General features: G+C 38.1%; 1 long non-coding RNA gene across 6 annotated transcripts in view, besides 1 other annotated feature; it reads left to right on the forward strand.

Moving 5' to 3' along the window:
• Positions 1–5,414: 5,414 nt before the first annotated feature.
• The window catches only part of LOC105378316 (uncharacterized), a 69,554-nt gene continuing 53,717 nt past the window's right edge, over positions 5,415–21,251 (forward strand). For 3 of the 6 annotated variants that reach the window (XR_945981.3, XR_945983.3, XR_945982.3), the window contains exons 1-2: positions 5,415–5,530; positions 6,903–7,146. This is a non-coding gene — a long non-coding RNA (uncharacterized LOC105378316). Of the gene's footprint in view, positions 5,531–6,902; positions 7,147–7,600; positions 7,696–21,251 lie in introns of those variants that run through there. The other 3 variants (XR_945984.3, XR_007062374.1, XR_945985.3) reach the window with 3 other exon arrangements.
• Positions 19,118–19,280: a silencer, noted in NCBI's record as "fragment chr10:60207389-60207551 (GRCh37/hg19 assembly coordinates)". NCBI's record gives its function as "represses an EF-1alpha promoter that drives an FKBP-Casp9 reporter gene in an ReSE screen in phorbol 12-myristate 13-acetate-treated (for megakaryocytic differentiation) K562 erythroleukemia cells {active_cell/tissue: K562(+PMA)}" and the evidence as "EXISTENCE:reporter gene assay evidence [ECO:0000049][PMID:32094911]".

Consider the following 21,251-nt stretch of genomic DNA (forward strand, 5'->3'; position numbering starts at 1 on the left):
CACCTATAAGTGAGAACATGTGGTGTTTGGTTTTCTGTCCTTGCAACAGTTTGTTCAGAATGATGGTTTCCAGCTTCATCCATGTCCCTACAAAGGACATGAACTCATCCTTTTTCATGGCTCCATAGTATTCCATGGTATATATGTGCCACATTTTCTTAATCCAGTCTATCATTGATGGACATTTGGGTTGGTTCCAGGTCTTTGCTATTGTGAATAATGCTGCAATAAACATATGTGTGCATGTGTCTTTATAGCAGCATGATTTATAATCCTTTGGGTATATGCCCAGTAATGGGATTGCTGGGTCAAATGGTATTTCTAGTTCTAGATCCTTGAGGAATTGCCACACTGTCTTCCACAATGGTTGAACTAGTTTACAGTCCCAGCAACAGTGTAAAAGTGTTCCTATTGCTCTGCATCCTCTCCAGCACCTGTTGTTTCCTGACTTTTTAATGATTGTCATTCTAACTGGTGTGAGATGGTTATCTCATTGTGGTTTTGATTTGCGTTTCTCTGATGGCCAGTGTTGATGAGCATTTTTTCATGTGTCTGTTGGCTGCATAAATGTCTTCTTTTGAGAAGTATATGTTCATGTCCTTTGCCCACTTTTTGATGGGGTTGTTTGATTTTTTCTTGTAAATTTAAGTTCTTTGTAGATTCTGGATATAAGCCCTTTGTCAGATGGGTAGATTGTAAAAATTTTCTCCCATTCTGTAGATTGCCTGTTCACTCTGATGGTGGTTCTATTCTGTTCAGAAAATTCTGTTCTATTGGTCTGTCTGTCCAGTCGTGAACTATTATTATGCTAATTTAATTATAGAAGCTTTATAATATGTTTTCATATCTGATATGGCTATGCTCCCCTCCCCACCATTGCTCTTGTCTTTCTTGCTTCTTGGCTGTTCTTGCCTGTCCTTTTTTCTATGTGACTTTATTTTTTTAATTGTATAAATTTATGGGATATAAGTACAATTTTATTACATGCATAGTGGTGATGTCAGTGCTTTTAGGATATCCATCACCCAAATAACGTACTTTGTACCCATTAAGTGATTTCCAATTATCCATCCCCTTCCACTCCTTCACTCTTCTGAGTCTCCATTGTCTATCATTTCCCTCTCTACTTACATATACACCTTTTCTGGCACTCATTTATAAGTGAGAACATGCAATATTTATATTTCTGTGTCTGGCTTGTTTCATTTATGACAATGCCCTCCTGTTCCATCCAAGTTCCTGCAAAAGACATGATTTCATGTTTTTATGGCTGAATAGTACTTTATTCTTTATATATACCACATTTTCTTTATCCAGTCACCTGCTGATGGAAACTAGGTTGCTTCCATATCTTTGCTATTGTGAGTAGTTGATAAACATACAAGTGCAGGTATCTTTTTGATATATTGATTTCTCTTTCTTTGGCCAGATACTCAGTAATGAGATGGCTGGATCAAATGGTAGTTCCATTTTTAGTTCTTTGAGAAATCTCCCTACTGTTTTCTATAGAGATTTTACTAATTTACATTCCCGTCAACAGTGTATAAGCATTCCCTTTTCTCCACACCCTCCCCCAAATCTTTTATCTTTTGAATAATAGCTTCTGATTGGGGTAAGATGATATCTTATTGTGGTTTTAATTTGCATTTCTCTGATGATTAGTGACGTCAAGCATTTTTTCATATACCTGTTGGCCATTTGTATGTCTTCTTTTGAAAAAATGTCTATTTATATCCTTTGCCCACTTTTTAATGACAGTATTTGTTTTTTTTTTTCCCATTGAGTTTTTTGAGTTCCTTGTATATTCTGGATATTAGTTGCATGTAGGATAGTTTCCAAATATTTCTCTCATTCTGCAGATTATTTGTTCACTCTGTTGATTCTTTCTTTTGCTGTTCAGAAGTGTTTTCATTTAGTTATGTCCCATTTGCCTGTTTTTATTGCCTGTGCTTTTGAGGTCTTAGTCATAAATTCTTGCCTAGACCTATATCTAGAAGAATTTTCCCTAGGTTTTCTTCTAGTATTTTTATAGATTTGGGTCTTTTGTTTAAGTCTTTAATCCATCTTCAGTTGATTTTGGTATATCCATGCGACTTTAGAATAATTTTGTCTTCTTTATGAAAAATCTTATTAGCATTTTTGTTGGAATCACAATAAATAAATAAATAGGTTAACTTCGGGAGAACTAACATCTTTATGATAATGAATTTCCTTATCCAAGAATTTATTATGTGTCCCAATTATTCAAGTTTAACTTTGTGTCTTTTTGAAATGTTTTGAATTTTTCCTCATATAGGTTTTGTATGTTTCATGTTCCATTTTCTTCCTAGGTATTTTATGGTTTTTTGGTTGTTGGTTTTTTGTTTTGAAACAGGGTCTTGCTCAGTTGCCTAGGCTGGAGTGCAGTGGCATGAACATGCCTCACTGCAGCCTTGATCTCTTGGGCTCAAACAATCCTTCTGCCTCAGACTTCTGGGTAGCTGGGACTACAGGTGTGTGCCACACTTGGCTAATTTTTTTTTTTTCATAGAGATAGGGTCTTTCTTTGTTGTGCAGGCTGGTCTTGAACTCCAGGCCTTAAGTGATCCTTCTGCCTCGCCTTCCCAAAATGCTGATATTACAGGTGTGAGCTACTGCATCTGGCCTGTAGTTTTTTAAATGGGATCTTCTCTTTCATGATATATTCTAACTGGCTTACACTTGTGGATAGGAAAGCTATTGATTATTTCATTCAATATTAAATTTACTTTTTTGTTTTACTGAATTCTTTTTTATTGGTTATATATAATTTTTCATGAATGTATAGTATTGCATTATATAAAAATACTGTAAGTTAATTAACCAAACTCTTGATATTGAACATTTAGTTTTATGTGTGTGGGAGGTGGGTATGTTTTACATTTTCCCACTATTAATACAAAGATGTTTACATCCTAGTGGCTAAATATTTTTTGTTTCTTTAATAATTTCCTTATAATAGATTCCTGGAAGTGAATTTGCTGCTTCATTGGATGTCAAAACTGGAAAGCTTTAAGAAATATGTTTTGACAAATTGCCCTGGAGAGGGCTTGTACCCATTTATTCTCTAACAAGTTATGTCTGAGAAGGAACAGAGTTTAATTTTACTGGGCCAAGCAAAACATCAAGCTCATTAAAGGCCTAGGGCAATAACTTTCAGATTATTTAGTCACAGACTTTCTGTTTACAAGGAAGTTTATGTATTATATTGAATTATATGAAATTGACATTTTTGCAGGCAATATGGTTGAATATCAGCAGTTTCCTATTGTTCAACTTAACAGAAGCCTAACAGGTATAGCAAAAAAAAAAAAAAAACACAGCTGTTTTGACTGATGATGGAGTAGGGGTATTCAGAAGACCTCAGAGAAGGGCTTAAGAGCAGCTCTCTAGGCACAAAGCCCTGGGTGGGAAGGCAGGTGCGGGATCTGGGAACCCTCAGGGCTTCAGTCAGGGCGAGTGTGTGGACAAGGGTGGTGGACAGTGTGAGGGCCCTGATTGCCTGTGGGATAGGAGCTGGCAGAGAGGACAAGAACATCAACATCTGGCAAGGGAACAGGTGCTTTGGACATTTGCCTTTAACAGCAAGTCTGACCTTGCCCTTTTGTGGGATTGCAATGTCTGAGAAGCAGTACCAAGTTCCTACAGTGTCTCTGTGATGTGTGGAAAGATGTGGGTTCAATCCCAGATCAAGTATTTATTAACAATGTGACTTAGGGCAAGTTTGTAAGTTTTTCTATGAGTTAGTGTTCTTTTCTGTAAACTGTGAATAAGAATTCCTACCATATCAGTTTGTTGTTAAAATACGATGCTATGGCCGGGCATGGTGGCTCACGTCTGTAATCCCAGCACTTTGGGAGGCTGAGGCAGGGTGATCACAAGGTCAGGAATTCCAGAGCAGCCTGGCCAATATGGTGAAACCCCGTCTCTACTAAAAATGCAAAAATTAGCCTGGCGTGGTCGTGGGCGCCTGTAATTCCAGCTACTTGGGAGGCTGAGGCAGGAGAATCTCTTGAACCCGGGAAGCAGAAGTTGCAGTGAGCCCGAGATCGTGCCACTGCACTCCAGCCTGGGCAACACAGTGAGACTCCATCTCAAAAAAAAAAAAAAAAAAAGATGATGCTACAAGCTACCTTAGATACTTAAAGTATTACATAGTACACAATAGATTCTCAAAAATGTCAGTTGTAATAATAATTTCATTATCTTATATTCATTCCTTTTGCTCTCATCAAGGTTCAAAAGGACATCCAAATGTGTGTTTGTTTAGAGTTTATCTTAGGGATTCCACCTCCCTAATATGTCTGTGAACCAAGGAATAGAATAACAGTAATAATTCCTCTCATTTTGTAGAAAAGAAACTAGAGCAGCTTATTGTTTAGCTCCATGAGGACCATTAAGCACTGGGACTCATTTTTATTCTCAAAGACTCCCAGGTGAAAAAGACCTGGAAATCATCTGTTAGTTCAGGTTGAGTCTGATTTCTGATTCACATCTGCAACACTCTTGGTGAGACACGAGCAAGCCTAAGGATGGATAGCAAAACCCACAATACCCATGCCATCACGCCTCTTTCAAGGTCTCATGTAAATATTATTAATTTTTTTAACTTGTCCAAGTTCACAAAGCTAACTCTTTTTTAATGATATTTATTTTACTGCTGAGCCCTGATGGGCCTCAGAATCCTTTTCAACAAATTCTGGAAGCAGCTAATACTAAACAATTTGATCTGTCACATTGAGTTGAAATCTATGTGCTGTTCTGACCCAGCCTCTAGCCGAGAGCTAGCCAAAGGCTGGGAATGCATTTCTACTTGCAAGAGCTAGTTTCATCTCTGGAAAAACATGCTGTCTCATTTCACTTTTTAATTCCCCCAAAATATATGCATAAATGCTTAATAAAGATTTTTATAATGAATGAATAAATAAATAACTAAAGGAAAGATTTACAGAAGTGTTTCATAACTTGCCTCAGATCTCCTGGAAAATGTGTTGGTTCATCAGACATTTACTGAGAACCTATTATGTTAAGTACCATTTATGTGAGGTGATCAGGAAAGTCTGCAATGATATGACTTTTTAAGTTATGGTGAAATATACGTAACATAAAATTGACCAGTTTAACCATTTGAAAGGTACAGTTCAGTGGCATTAAGTACAATCTCACTGTTATGCAACCATCGTCCACATCCATCTCCAGAACTTATTCACGATCATAAACTGAAACTCTCAACTCATTAAACCCAAATCATCCACTATTCCATCCCCCCATCCCCTGGCAACCACTGTTCTACTTTCTGTATCTATGAATTTGACTACTCTAAGAACCTCATACGTGAATTCATGCAATATTTATCCTTTTGTTTCTGGCTTATTTTACTCAGGATAATGTCTTCAAAAGTTCATCCATATTGTAGCACATACGAGAAGATGACTTTTTAAAAAGTTTTTAATTAAAACATAACATAAAAAGTGAAAAGTGCATAACTTGCTCACAACCTGAACACATCAGGGTAAGTAGTGTCTACATAAGAAATGGAAAGTTACTAGAAGGGCAGAAGACCTCCCCATACTCCACTCCTAACCCCCGAGAATAATCTCTATCCTGACTTCTAACAGCGTAATTTTGCCTAGTTTTTAACTTTACGTAAATTAAAGCATACAGTATTTTTTTTCTATTTGCTTTTTTTGCTCAATATAATGTTTGTGGTATTCATCCATATTGTTGTGTGTAGTTATATTTCTTTCATTCTCATTGCTATACAGTATGTTATCATGTAAATATGCCACAATTTATATATCATTATATTGTTGATGGAGACTCAGGCAGTTTCTGGTTTTTTGTTAATATCAATAGTCTTGCTATGGCTAGGCATGGTGGCTCACACTTGTAATCTCAGCACTTTGGGAGGCGGAGGTGGGTGGTTCACTTGAGGCCAGGAGTTTGAGACCAGCCTGGGCAATATAGGGAGACCCTGTATCTACAAAAAATTAAAAAATTGGCCAGGTGGGCCAGGCATGGTGGCTCACACCTGTGATCCCAGCACTTTAGGAGGCTGAGGTGGGCGGATCACAAGGTCAAGAGATCAAGACCATCCTGGCCAACATGGTGAAACCCTGTCTCTACTGAAAATACAAAAATTAGCTGGGTGTGGTGGTGGGCGCCTATAGTCCCAGCTACTAGGGAGGCTGAGGCAGGAGAATCTCTTGAACCCTGGAGGAGGAGGTTGCACTGAGCCAAGATTGCGCCACTGCACTCCAGCCTGGCAACAGAGTGAGACTCCATCTCAAAAAAAAAAAAAAAATTAGCCAGTTGTGGTGGTGCACAGCTGTAGTCCTAACTACTTGGGAGACTGAAGCAGGAGGATTGCTTGAGCCCAAGAGTTTGAGACTGCAGCAAGCTGTGATTGTGCCACTGTGCTCCAGCCTGGGCAACAGAGGAAGACTCTGTCTCTATAAATAAATAAATAAATAAATAAATAGTACTGCTATGAACATTCCTGTACATGCCTTTTGGTAAACATATGAATGGATTTCTATTATATATATTATGTATATGCTATATGAATATATCATATAAATGTATATATGCATATATATATATTCAGAATTAAAAATGCTGGGTCACAGAGTATGCCTATATTAAGCTTTAATAGCTTTTCAATGTGGTTTACCATTTAGAAAGGGTCATTTAAGCTGTGGCCTGAAAAACGAAATGGAATGGAAGCTGCATTGAGATTTCCACACTAACATCTCCCTACTGCTATGACAAAAATGTGACCTTTTATAAAGTGGTTAGAGTCAAATGGGAGAAGTCCTTTGCCTCTTTTTTGCTGTGGTCTCCCAGTACACTTTAGTGTGAGGAGCCTCTGTCATTTTGGTCAGACCCAGGGAGTCAAGAGATGATGACTGATGACTCAGCCTCCTCAGCTCGGCTTCCCAGAGCTCCACTCACCACATCAGTGAGCCTGGCATGCAGGGGGAGACATAAACACAACCATGGTGTTGATATCAATCCTAGCAGAGATGTCACAAGCCAAGGTCTGGGAAGAGGAAGAATGAATCAGGATAAAACTTCAGTGGAAAAAAGACCAAGTGAGAGACTTAAAAGTCACGACTAAAGAATTGTGTAAGTAACAGTGGCAAATGACAACAAAAGGCCTCTACAGCTAAAATAATCAGTGGTACCTGTTTCAGATCCCCAGGCTTCTCTGTTTTTGGGAGGTCTTAGGATGCAGGGCTTTGCCAATTGTGTGGCCTGGGATGACAGCCAATTGATGGAAGCTGGAATTCAGGGCTTTCTTCTCAACAGAAGTTAAAGAAGGCAAAAAAAAAAAAAAAAACCCAAACAAAAAATCTGGCCACAAGTGATGTCTATCAGTGTTGTGTGGGTGTGAGAGCCTGCCCCTTTGTCTTAATAGAGAATAGAAACATACCTGAGGAGGAGCCCCAAAGGCCTGATAGGAATGGGTCATTTTGAGAAAAAGTTTCCAATGGGAAAGATAAAAATCTAGTTGTTTTGCCCTTCAATGTTTTAGAGTTTCCTCAGAGCACAGAGAAATCTTAGTTTGCTTCTCCTTAAGGTACTGCTCATAAAGTCCCGTCTTTTAAAGAAAAGGAACAGAGTGAAAAATGATTGATGCATCAAAGTGAAGTTTCCTTTTCCAAACATGTGTCCGTAAGTTGCTGATCTGGGGTCCCTTCAGAATTGCATGCTGTGTCTTTAACCCATTTCCTGTTTGGAAAAAAATGTGGCTCACTGCCAGCACAGTGTTCTTGGGGCAAACGGGAAGTGGCTTTAGGTAGCCAGACAGGTATGCAACAAACTACCTTTCATAACAATGCCTCAGGCCAGAAGGGATTGGGTCTCATGCCAAAAATATCTTTTGATTATCTTTCTTTAGTACGTACAAAAATTGAGACTTAAAAAGTATTTCAGGGCCACCATTTTAAATTTCAGTCGAATGTTCATGTTACTGATTAGAGTTGTGTCTGTAAAAAGTATTAAAGATTGAAGTGTGTTTCTATTCTGTAACAGTTGCATATGTGTGTATTCTAACAGAATTTCTTGTATGAAATAATTGTCTTTCATTTATTTGTTTCTCTTAAGAGTTCTCAAGGAAAATACAAGTTAAATTAGTTAAGAAAATTCTGATTGGTTGGGTTTCACCTACCTGCAATATTGATTTCTCTATATATATGGATAAAAGAAGTCAATTTAAATATGTTGACCCATGTGGTCCAGTTTATATGACATTCAAATAAACACAACTTTGAACACCAAGACTAATTGGAAAATAATTCAAATATTTACCAGGGACTCTTGAAGAATGTCAGAAGAATATCTAGCAGACATCCTAACAATTATTTCTGCATCTTTCTTTCTATTTCCCATCACTCTGAAGTTTTTTTTCAAAGACTTGCTCAACTCACAAAATCTCTTTCTCATCCCTGCATTGCACTCAGGGTTCTGGTCTTTTTCCTCCCTCTCTCCCAACAAAACACAAAAATAAATAAATTTGTCTCTTTATAAGATTGAAAAAAAAAATCCCAGTCTGTATCTTATCTTCCAGTTATCAGATCTTTCTACCCATTGGCCTGATTAGCTTCACAGAGTCCTGGAGACAAGCTAGCAGTCACAGAGAGGGAAGATTGTGAACCCTTATACATTCATGCTTATGGTCCCAGTTGCACAATAATTTTAAATACAATTCATACAACAGGCTATTTCCCAGTCACTAAATGACAAAACTTTCTTTGCAATAAGAGGCAAGGCCAACAGTGACCAAAATTCACATTTTTGAAGACTGGAGAAAGGCATGAGGGAAGAGGTGAAATGTGGTATAAAATGAATAACATCTTTGAGCAGAGGCGGCATTCTGCCTTAGACCCTCCTCTTCCCCTCCTCTCATGACATCACACGTGCCGATGCTTTTCCCTAGAAGCCCTATTTCTTGAAATCTGAGACCATAACCCAACAAATCATTCCCTTGAAAGTTTACTTACTTTTTGATGGTTATTTGATATGAAGAAGAAATCGAAAAGAGAGCAGAACTTCAAGGTTGAATTTGGCCATTTCCATGCTAATTCATATTGGTGCCTGAGAGTGTCCTCATTAGGATCTCATTTCTCTGTTAATGTCAAACAGTATCTGATCTCTGCCTATCCAAGGGCTGGTATGGGCTTAATGCCAGCATTTAATGCTGGAATCTAAAGCTGGGACAGGTAAGGTGCTTCGCCTGCAGCATCCAAAGATCAGAGCAGGCAGAGAGGAAGTCTAGGAGCATACACAGTAAAAACGTATAAATAATATGATTTGATAAGATACAAGCACAATAAAAAGTTAGAAAAGAAAAATACTAAATACACGTTAAATGTATACATGCTGAAGAGATTGCCAGATAAGAGTGTTTACATAGCGTAGTGGAACAAGTGAAGAAATGTTTCCTTAGAGAATAATATATTAAGAAAATGTCCATGTCACCTGTATTGGTTCAGAAAGAGTTATTTTTGAAAGCACCTGGTTGTCTTAGGATTAAACTGCCTAGCCCTTAGGGAAGGAGACAAGGGCCTGTTCATTCATTCATTAACTCATAATATATTAAAATTGTGCTTGCTATATACTAAGCACAGTATTAGGCACTAGAAATAGGGTATGGACTATGACCAACATGTTGCTTATCCTCTTGGAGCTTACAATATAACAGGGAAGATAGACCTTGGAAAGGTTATTACTCATTCAGACAATGAATGTGTGCAAAGACAGTGATGATGGAGAAATGCATGGTGCTATTGAAGGCATTATGGAAGAATATGACCAAAAAAGAGGACAGGGTCGCTTTCTTATCAGTGAATATCAGCTGAGCAATTCAGGTGCCACTGCTTCCACCTCTGGGCATGGGCTTTCTCCCTTGCTTGGAAAGAATACATTAACATCAGATTAAGCAAAGAGCTCATAAAATGCATGATGGCACACTGACCAATCAAAACATACCAAGCATTCTTTTCCAGAGGATTGGGAAAGAGATTCATTTTGAAATAATTAGCTGGCAATAGGTTCAACATGAAAAAAATAAACATTAAGCCATAATTATTTTTCAACAGAACTGGAGACTTATTCATCTACTTTCTGAAATTGTATATCTATTTCATAGCACTGGAAGCTCAATACTATGTTTAATGTTCTGAGGGTAAAAACACGATGTCTGTTTTATTTCACAACATGAATTGAAAGCGTTTGTGGGACAGGATGTTGTTTTGGTTCAATAGGTTGTTCAAGATTCCTTAGGAGTTTTATCCAGTAACTGCTTTCAGCTTTAAGAAATTAATGTTTCCATTTGGTTTTCAGATCCAAAAACTGCATAAGCAGATTTTTCTGTTTTTGATGCCTTATCCAATTGCTAGTGTGGTTTAAGGTAATCAATCATATAACTGAGAGTTAAAGAACTCTGGCTAAGAGTTTTTACACAAATAAAACTTGCATTGGTTTGATTGTGGATGGTGCTTGTTCAAGGACTGTAGGAATAGGTTGTAGTCAAACCTCAGAAATGTTCCAGATTTGCAGCCCATGCACTGGTTGGGAAGGCCATACCTTATGGTTCAGGTAAGATACAGGCAGGGCTCGTGCTAGGAAATGAGAATACCTGATGGGAACAATAAAGTTACTGATTCTCTTGGCTGCCCAGCAAGTCTCTACCTGTCCCTCATGAATCTTTCTGCCAAATTCCAGAAGGAAAAACTCTCTTTCTCTGGGATATCCAGGGAAGATGGAGGTTCCTTTCCAGCCTTCCTTTCATCACAAATTTACTAGTCATATACTGTGGCAGGCACTAACAGCACAAAGACATAAGATTATAATCCCAAAGAGCTCACTGTCTAATAAAGGAAAATTAGCATAAATAAAATACTTGCAATGCAGTATAAGTACAATGCTAGGAACATTCATGTTATATTTTCAACCAGGAGACAATGCAATTAGCAGTATCAGGATTCAGGAGAGAGAAGTGTGGCAAAGAATACTGCATAGAAGTGAACAACAAAGTGGGGAAGGGAAGGAAACCCTTCCCCAGGGTTTGTATTTAGGAATACAATGAAATTAGTCAAGGTGGTCACAGCCTATCTTCTTTCAGGACCCTTTTCCCCTTCATAGGTCTATCATGCCTATCTTCCAGTGCTCAATACTTTCCTGTTGCCCTCTAGAGGCCCAGAGTTCACCACTCTGGAGTCCTATCTACCTTGATCTGCCCTTACTCGGACCAGTATTGTCACCTGTTCTGATCTTTCTCCAAAATTTTATGCTGACTCACTGTATTAGTTTCCTTTTGTTGTGGTAACAATTACCATTAATGTAGGGCTTAAAACAGCACAATTTTTTTATCTCATTGTTTTGAAGGTCAGAAGTCTGAAATTATATCATTGGGATAAAAACCACGGTGTCGGCACAGCTGCATTCCTTTCTGGAAACTCAAGGGGAATCTATTTTCTTGTCTTTTCTAGCTCCTAGAGGCTGCCCACATTCTTTGGCTTGTGGCCCCCTCCCATCTTCAAAGCCAGCGATAGCCAGTCAAGTCCTTCTCACATTGTGTCCCCCTAGCTTTGCTTTTGCCATCACATTTTACCCTGACTCTTACACTCCCACTTCCTCTTTCACCAAGCACCCTGTGATGACATTGGGCCCAGCTGGATAATCCCGGATACTCTCTCTCTCTCTCTTTTACAGTCAGCTCATTAATAACCTCAATTCCATCTGCAACCTTAATTCTCACAGTTTCTGGGGATTAGAATGTGGTCATCTCTGGGGGTGACTGTTATTCTGCCTACTGCACCCACCTTCAATTCTACTATCAATCAAAATTTACTTGTATGTTCTTCAATGACTCCTCATTAGCTAAAAAGTGAACCTAATAATTGAACCCAAACAGAAGGTGTTAAACGGAAATATGTAGGACCTGTCCCTACTTATTCTCCTGTCCCTGTTTACATATCATGAGTCAAGCATGGTTCTCTTCTATCTGAACCCAAATGAGCCTTCAGAATCCTTTTTCACATCCTGGCAACCACTTCCTTATGACTCTCTGTGATCTCTACACCTTGCCCACCCCACTCTCCTCCTTGAGCAACTACCGATCTTTTTGTCACTATAGATTAGTTTGGAATTCCCAGAGTTTAATGTTAGTTGAATCACACAGTGTGTACTCTCACCCAAACTTCTTTCATTCAGTATAAGTAGTTCATGATTCACCCATGTGTCATTCAATAGTTCATTCATTTTGGATCAGTATTGTGAATCAATATTCCATTGTATGGATATACCACAATTTGTTTATATATTCACCTTTTGATGAACATTTGAGTTGTTTTACATTTTGGCTATTAAATATAAAGCTGCTATAAAAATTCAGGAATAAGTCTTTGAAAGGACATAAATTTCCATTTCTCTTGAGTAAATACCTAGGAATTAAATAGCTGGATATATGATATGTATATGTTTAACTTCTTAAGAAACTGTCAAAATATTTTGCAAAGTGGTTGTACCATTTTACATTCTACCTACCAGTGAATACAAATTCCAGTTTTTCTACATCCTCACCAATACTTGATAAGGTCAGTCTTTTTAATTTTAACTATTCTGATGGGTATGTATACAGTGATACCTCATTGTGGTTTTAATATGCATTTCTCTAATGGTTAATGCTGTTGAGCTTTTCATGTGCCATTTGTATATCTTCTCTGGTGAAGTGTCGGATTAAATCTTTTGCCTAATTTTTAATTGGAATGTTTTTTCTCTTATTGTTGAGTTTTGACAGTTCTTTATATGTTCCAGATACAAGTTCGTTATTAGATATAGGCTTTGCAAAGGTTTTCTCCTAGTCTGTGGCTTGCCTTTTAATTTTTGTTCTTTCATTTCATTTTCATTCTTTCATTTATAAAACAGTGTTATTCAAAGAGCAAAATGTTTTCATTTTGATGAAGTCCAATTTACCAGTGTGTTCTTTTATGAACTTTTTTGGTGTCATACCTAAGAAATCTTTGCCTTACCAAGATCATCATCATAAGTATTTCATATCTTCATTAATCTTATAAATGTTAACACTTCTAAATTTCAACTTCTGACACTTTGTTGCTAGTATATAGACGCCATGCTATTAAATTCCTCTCCATCATGTCCAGAGGCACACAATGCCTGGCTATCCCACTCTTAGTGATGTTAAATTAACCAATGAGTTTAGATAGTGTCAACATGATCTATTCATTAAAAAGGTTCTCCATCAACCTTTCACTTAATATTTTTGGACGATTCAAATTGCCTACATAAATTATTTCATTAGAGGTTCCAAGCTGTTGATTTTTTGATTCCGTTATTCTTCTTGCATTTACTAGCTGTGATTCATTTATGAAGAAATTTTCCTGGTCCCCTATTTTATTAGCCTAAAATATAGAATGTGGAAAAAGAAGTATAAATAATTGATTCTCTTTTTTACTTTATTATTTTTATAATACATATTTAATACTCTAGAAACGACTAAAAGTCGTCAATAATGTTTTATTTTTGGAATATCTTAATGAACACATGCATTTATATTTAGTTGATGTATTTCAGTTCATTGGAGCCCTTATTTTTTGGATGCTTGAATTGTCCATCTTTGGCCAGTATGAGCTCTTTCTTATTGGTCTTTTTTCAGTATGACTCTAGTAGCCATTCATAACTTTCTTGCTTTCAGGAAAGACAAGATGTCCCAGATTCATCCTGTACATTTCCTATTCTGGATATCAAATGGCTATTTCTATAAGGTGCTCTGGCTCCCGTCCTGGAGAAATGATATGAAGTGATCACAATCTACATGCTAGGGACACTAATGACTCCTGCACTCTGATTGTTTCTTTTAGTGGGGTGTATGTTCATAATCAGAACTTAGTTTTAATTCTGTCAGTTTAGCAATGTTTTTATTAATGATTAATCCTTTTTTGTGCCTTGTTTTAGGATATTTCCTTACTTGGAAGTTACAAAAATATTCTCCCATATGATGCTCTGAAAGGGTTGAATATTTTGCCTTTCCTATTTAGGGCTGTGAACTAACTGGAATTGATTTTGTTATATGGTTAGGGTTCCAGTATCATTTTCCCTCAAAATAATGCTCAACTTTTCTATAATTATTTATTGAAAGGTTCACCTATTTCTGACTTCTCTGCAGTACTATCCCTGTAGTAAATCAAATATCTTTATGTGTGTAGGTTGGTTTCTGGAGTATACATATTTTATTCTATTGGTCTATTTGCCTATCCTTGTATGAGTACCTCATTCTTTTAAGTTCTATAGCCTTTAATAAGCCTTAGTATGCAGTAGAGCCAATCTTCCAATTATAATTGTGTCTTGGCTATGCTTGGCTCTTTGTATTTTTATATATGTTAGAATTGGCTTGTCAATATCCCTCCCAAAAATCCTAAGATTTTAATTGAACTACATTGACACTAGATTAATTTGTGGGGAATTGCAATATTTATAATATTGAGTCTTCCAATCAATGTACAGTAAATTTCTATATTTGTTTAGGTCTCCTTTAATTTTCCTTGTTATAATTTTATAGTTCTTGCCATACAACTCTTGTATTACAACTCTTGCAATACAACACTTAAATTACAGTTAATTCTAGTTATGTAATATGTTTGATATTACAATAAATGGCATAATTTTTTCAATTTTGTTTTCTAAATGTTGCTTATATATAGAAATAAATTATAAATTGATTTATTTAGTAGACTTCTAAACTGAATTAATAATTTATCTGAATTATTTTGTACTTTTTATAAACATAATCATATCACCTGCAAATGATGCTATTTATATTTTGCATTTAATTTTTATATATCTTTTTTTTTACCTTGTTTTACTGTTTTGTCTAGGTTCCCTAAGGCAATGTTGACTAGAAGTGGGATAGTAACACCTTTTTTTTGTTCCTTATATCATAGAGAAAACTTTATGTCTCCTCATTAAGAACTGTTTGCTTGTGAAGTTTAAATTTTTATTTTTATTAATTTTTAGACAAAAATGATCCTCTCAATTCCTACTTTGCTAAGCTTTTCCTTTTTAATCACAAAAGAATTCAAATTTTATCTAATGGCTTTTTTTCTGCATCTATTGAATTGATTATATGATTTTTCTTTAACCTCTTAATATGGTAAATTACATTGATTAATTTTAAGTATTAAATCAACCTTGACTTGCTGGCATAGACCCTAATGATTAAATTACATACCTGGCAGGAAACAGTGGCTCATGCCTCTAATTCCAGCACTTTGGGAGGCCGAGGCGGGTGGATCACTTGAGGTCAGGGGTTCGAGACCAGCCTGGCCAACATGGTGAAACCATGTCTCTAATAAAAATACAAAAATTAGCCAGGTGTGGTGGTGGGTGCCTGTAATCCCAGCTACTCAGGGAGGCTGAGGCGGGAGAATCGCTTGAACCGTAAGGCAGAGGTTGCAGCGAGCCGAGATCATGCAATTGCACTCCAGCCTGGGTGACACAGTGAGACTGTCTCAAAAAAAAAAAAAAATTACATTACCATTTTGCTATGTTGGTTGATTCAGGTTGTCGCTTTAGTGGGATTTTAAGAGTGAGTGAAAGTAGGTTCACGTTTTCAATCTGCCATCTTTACTTCCATGTTAGTACTAAATAATTTTTTTGCCAGCTGATTTACTATATTGGCACCTTCACTCCATTCTAGTATTCCTTGCCACCTTTCTCTCTCCTAAATCCTGGTACTGCTAATTGCATTGTCTTTTGGTTGAAAATGTAACATGAATATTCCAAGCACTGTACTTATACTACATTGCAAGTATTTTATTTATGCTAATTTTCCTTTATTAGACAGTGAGCTCCTTGGGATTATAATCTTATGTCTTTGTGCTGTTAGATGCCTGCCACAGTACATGACCAGTAAATTTCTAATGAAAGGAAGGCTGGAAAGGAACCTCCATTTTCCCGGGATATATATTAAAAATCCCTTATTGCAACATCACTATTTGGCAGCTGCTAAGAATGACAGCTGCCGAATGGTGTAGAAGAATGTGTCGAAAGGCCCCATGGGGTGTGATAAATTACACTAGTATAAATCATTCTTTTTAAACTTTTAAAGCATTTTTATAATTATCCTATTTGACCCTCACAACTGAGAAATATGTAAATTAGTAGCTTTATCCCTGTTTTACACATAAGTAAACAAGGCCCAGAGAAACTAAATATTTACCTAAGACTATATGCTAGTTTGGGGCCAAATTTGGTCTAGAATTCAGGTTTCCAGATGTTTAAACCCAGGGTCTTTTTAATAGACCAGTGGTTCTCAAACTAAGGATTACTTAGGGACTGCTATTGAACAGGGATGGGAGAGAAGATAGAGGGTGAAAGATCAGGAATCTGGGCCCCCTACTCATGTTACAATTCTGCTTTTGTCTCTTCTACGTGTAAGTGTTCCATAGAATTTATCACTTGGAAAATAGCTCTCTTGCTGATAACAACACGCAGCCACTAGTCTTTAAGCACATACTTGCTTTCTGGCACCATGTGATGTTTCGGGCTTACTTTGTACATTCCGTGTCCTGGAATTGGTTTCAGCCATTTCTCCAAGGAGTTCTGGTTTCTTTAGGTGGAAATGAGATTTAGAATCCAGTATCTGGGCTCTAGGTGGGCTCGTCGCTACTGGTGCCTCATTGCTTCTAGCTCTTTACAGGAGACAGTGATAGGAAACTGCTTTTCTAAAATAAAAAATATAAAAAAAAGAAAAAAAGATAAAAGAAAAGCCTGAGTTTCTAGTAATACTTATAATTCACATGCATTACCACATGATTATTTCTTTCCTTCTCCCATTCCATTTTTGTATTTCCTTCTTCCATAGTGAAAACCCTGCTTCTCAAACACCACCACAAACAATATTTGTTCACTTCTATTCTGCAATGCACACAGTTTTTGAGCTACAACACCATACACCTGTTAAAAACAAAACTAGTAAATACAGTCAAATTTCTTTGCATTTCTCGTAATTCTTCAAAAATATTTATAATTTTATATGCTTTATTGGTGAATGTATGTGTATATATGCATATATGTTTGTGTTTGTGTATGTGTGTGTATATATATATGCATGTGTTTGTGTGTACTGAGAAAAACCTTAATTCCTGTTTATTCAGTCTCGACTTTGATCTCAACTACTCTATATAATCATTTTAATCTGTTGTTGGTTACATTTTTTTCACTTCTTTTTTGACAATAAATGCATATACACTTTTATTTTATCTTCTTTATTATTAAAGAGATAGCATATTGTATGCACACTCTATATTTTGCTTTAACTCTTAAAAATATATTTAAATTTATCAATTTACAATTTTATGTTTAGTATTCTCTTATTTTTTGTTTAAGAATTCTTTACCTGCCCAAAGATCACAAAAATTTTCCACTATATTGTCCTCTAAAATTTTTAAAAATCTTGCCTCTTACGGTTCAGCTTTTAATCTCTCTAGAGACAATTTTGTGTGTGATATGAGGGGGGTACCCATTCCATTTTTAAAATGAGTTTCCATTTATCTCATACACTTTGTCAAACAGTCTATTCTTTGCCCAGTGATATTTGGTGTCGGTTCAGCTCTACATCAAGTTTCCACACATTCATGGATCTGCTTCTGGACTTTCTATTCTGTTTTATTTGTTACTCCGTCTATTCCTGAGAAAATCTTCTGTCTAAAACTTTCAGACATATTTTTATGTTATTAACTTTCATTTTAGGTGCGGGGTACGCGTGCAGGTTTGTTATATAAATTGTGTGCCATGGAGGTTGGTGTACAGATTAGTTCATCACCCAGGTCCTCCCACACTCCACCCTCCACCCCACAATAGGCTCCAGTGTTTGTTGTTCCCTTGTGTCCATATGTATTTAATGTTTAGCTCCCACTTATAAGTGAGAACATGCAACATTTGATTTTCTGTTCCTGTGTTTGTTCACTTAGGATGATGGCCTCCAGCTCCAACTATGTTGCTGCAAAAGACACAATCTCATTATTTTTTATGGCTGTGTAGTAGTCCACAATGTATATGTCCTACAGTTTCTTTATCCAGTCCATCACTGATGGGCATTTAGGTTGATTCCATGTCTTTGCTATTGTGTATAGTGCTGTCATAAACATACACATGCATATGTCTTTATGGTAGAATAATTTATATTCCTTGGGGTATACACCCAATAATAGGATTGCTGGGTGGAATGGTAATTCTGTTTTACCTTCTTTCAGAAATCGCCCAACTGCTTTCCACAATGGCTGAAGTAATTTACATTCCCACCAGCAGTGGATAAATTCTCCCTTTTCTCCATAACCTTGTCAGCTGTCAGCAACTGTTTTTTTTCTTTCTTTTTTTTTTTTTTTTTTTACTTTTTAGTAATAGCCGTTCTGACTGGTTTGAGATGGTATCTCATTGTGGTGGTTTGATTTACATTTCTCTATATAATTAATGATGTTGATATGGTTTGGCTCTGTCCCTACCTAATCTTGTCTTGAAGTCCAAGGTGTTGCGGGAGTGACAGATGGGAGGTAATTGAATCATGGGGGCAGGTCTTTCCCTTGCTGTTCTTGCGGTAGTGGATAAGTTTCATGAGATCTGATGGTTTTATAAAGATGAGTCTCCCTGCACAAGCTCTCTTCTCTTGTCTGACCCCATGTGAGATGTACCTTTCACCTTCTGCCATGATTGTGTGTCCGGAATTGGTGGGTTCTTGGTCTCACTGACTTCCAGAATGAAGCTGCGGATCCTCGCAGTGAGTGTTACAGTTCTTAAAGATGGTGTGTCCAGAGTTTATTCCTTCTGATGTTCGGACGTGTTCAGAGTTTCTTCCTTCTGGCAGGCTCATGGTCTCGCTGGCTTCAAGAGTGAAGCTGCAAACCTTTGTGGTGAGTGTTACAGCTCTTAAGGCGGCGTGTCTGGAGTTGTTTGTTCCTCTCGTCTGGAGTTGTTCATTCCTCCCGGTGGGCTCGTGGTCTTGCTGACCTCAGGAGTGAAGCTGCAGACCTTCACGGTGAGTGCTACAGCTCATAAAGGTAGTGTGGACCCAAAGATTTACGGCAAAGAGCAAAAAAACAAAGCTTCCCCAGCGCAGCAAGAGACCCCAGCAGCTTGCCACTGTTGGCTGGGGCAGCCTGCTTTTATTTCCTTATCTGGCCCCACCCGCATCCTGCTGATTGGTCCATTTTACAGAGAGCTGATTGGTCTGTTTCATAGAGAGCTGATTGGTGTGTTTACAAACTTTGAGCTAGACACAGAGTGCTGATTGGTGTATTTACAATCCCTTAGCTAGACACAACCATTCTCCAAGTCCCCACCAGATTAGCTAGATACAGAGTGCTGATTGGTGCATTTACAAACCTTGAGCTAGACACAGAGTGCTGATTGGTGTATTTACAAACCTTGAGCTAGACACATAGTACTGATTGGTGTATTTACAATCCCTTAGCTAGACATAAAGGTTCTCCAAGTCCCCACCAGATTAGCTAGATACAGTGCTGATTGGTGCATTTACAAACCTTGAGCTAGACCCAGAGTGCTGATTGGTGTATTTACAATCCTCTAGCTAGACATAAAAGTTCTGCAGGTCCCCACTAGACTCAGGAGCCCAGCTGGCTTCACCTAGTGGATCCTGCGCAGGGGCCGAGCTGCTGGCTGGCAGAGCTGCCCGCCAGTCCCGCGCTGTGCGCCAGCACTCCTCAGTCCTTGGGCGGTCGATGGGACCCGGCGCTGCGGAGCAGGGGGCGGCACTCCTTGGGGAGGCTCCTGCTGTGCAGGAGCCCACAGCGGGGGGTGGGGCTCAGGCATGGTGGGCTGCAGGTCCCAAGCCCTGCCCCGCGGGGAGGCAGCTGAGGCCCGGTGAGAATTTGAGAGCAGTGCCAGCACTGCTGGGGGACCCGGCACACCCTCTGCAGCTGCTGGCCCGGGTGCTAAGCCCCTCACTGCCCAGGACCTGCGGCGCTGGCCTGCTGCTCTGAGTGCGGGGCCTGCTGAGCCCAGCCCACCGGGATCTCCTGCTGGCCCACAAGCACCCCATGCAGCCCCGGTTCCTGCCTGCACCTCTCCCTCCACACCTCCCCGCAAGAAGAGGGAGTCAGCTCTGGCCTCGGCCAGCCCAGAGAGGGGCTCCCACAGTGCAGCGGCGGGCTGAAGGGCCAGAGTGGAGGCTGAGGCCGAGGAGGTGCCAAGAGCGAGCCAGGGCTGCGAGGGCTGTCAGCATGCTGTCATCTCTCAATTGTGAGGCCTCCTCAGCGACATGGAACTGTAAGTCCATTAAACCTCTTTCTTTTGTAAATTGCCCAGTCTCTGGTATGTCTTTGTCAGCAGCATGAAAATACAGATGTTGAACATTTTTTCATATGCTTGTTGGTTGCATATATGTCTTCTTTTGAAAAATGTCAGACATATTTTTTAGTTCTAGAATTTCCATTTTAAACAACAGTAACTTTTTCTCTGCTGGAGGATTTTCTTCTTTAAAAAGCAGAATTAAAATTCATTATGAACATATTTTCTTCTATGCTTCTGAGGATAGTTTTAATAAAATCCTTTTCTGCTAATTCCAACATCTGTCCAGTTTCCACTGATTGATTGTCTCTGGAATATGCATCACATTATCCTATTTCTTCACATTATTCTAATTATTCTATTTTTTTCTTTATAATTTTGGATTATCCTAGACATTCTAAATGATATTTTGGATTCTGAATTCTGTTATATTCTTCTGAACAGTGCTGAATTTGCTTACAATTAACTTTGCTGGACTCTAACTTCTAACTCAGTCTACCTTGAAGGTGAAATCTTGTTTAACTCCTTTATCCTTAGCAGGCTGTTTAGGATTTGCACTACACACGCATAGCTTAGGGGTCAGCCAGAGATTTGGGCAGAGTTTATATGCAGAATTTGTGACTCTCCTTTCTGGTTGTCTCCTTTCCTGGACTTCTCCCCTCACTTTTAGCTGCTGTGGTGGTTCCCAAACTCTGTTATTTGATATTTCAAGCCACTAAGATTATAGACTTCTATTTGAGATTTAGCCAACTAATGCCTACCCTCAAATAAAGACCCATTAAAGAATAGATAACTCACCCAGTTCCATTTCCTTCATCTAAGTACAGGTCCCCCACTCCAGCTTCTGCCTGCTTTTAGTTGCTTTCCAGTTGTTCCAGGGAATTGGTTTTTTATATTTTGCCTAG

Source organism: Homo sapiens, chromosome 10, assembly GCF_000001405.40.
Source record: "Homo sapiens chromosome 10, GRCh38.p14 Primary Assembly".
Lineage (NCBI taxonomy): Eukaryota > Metazoa > Chordata > Mammalia > Primates > Hominidae > Homo > Homo sapiens.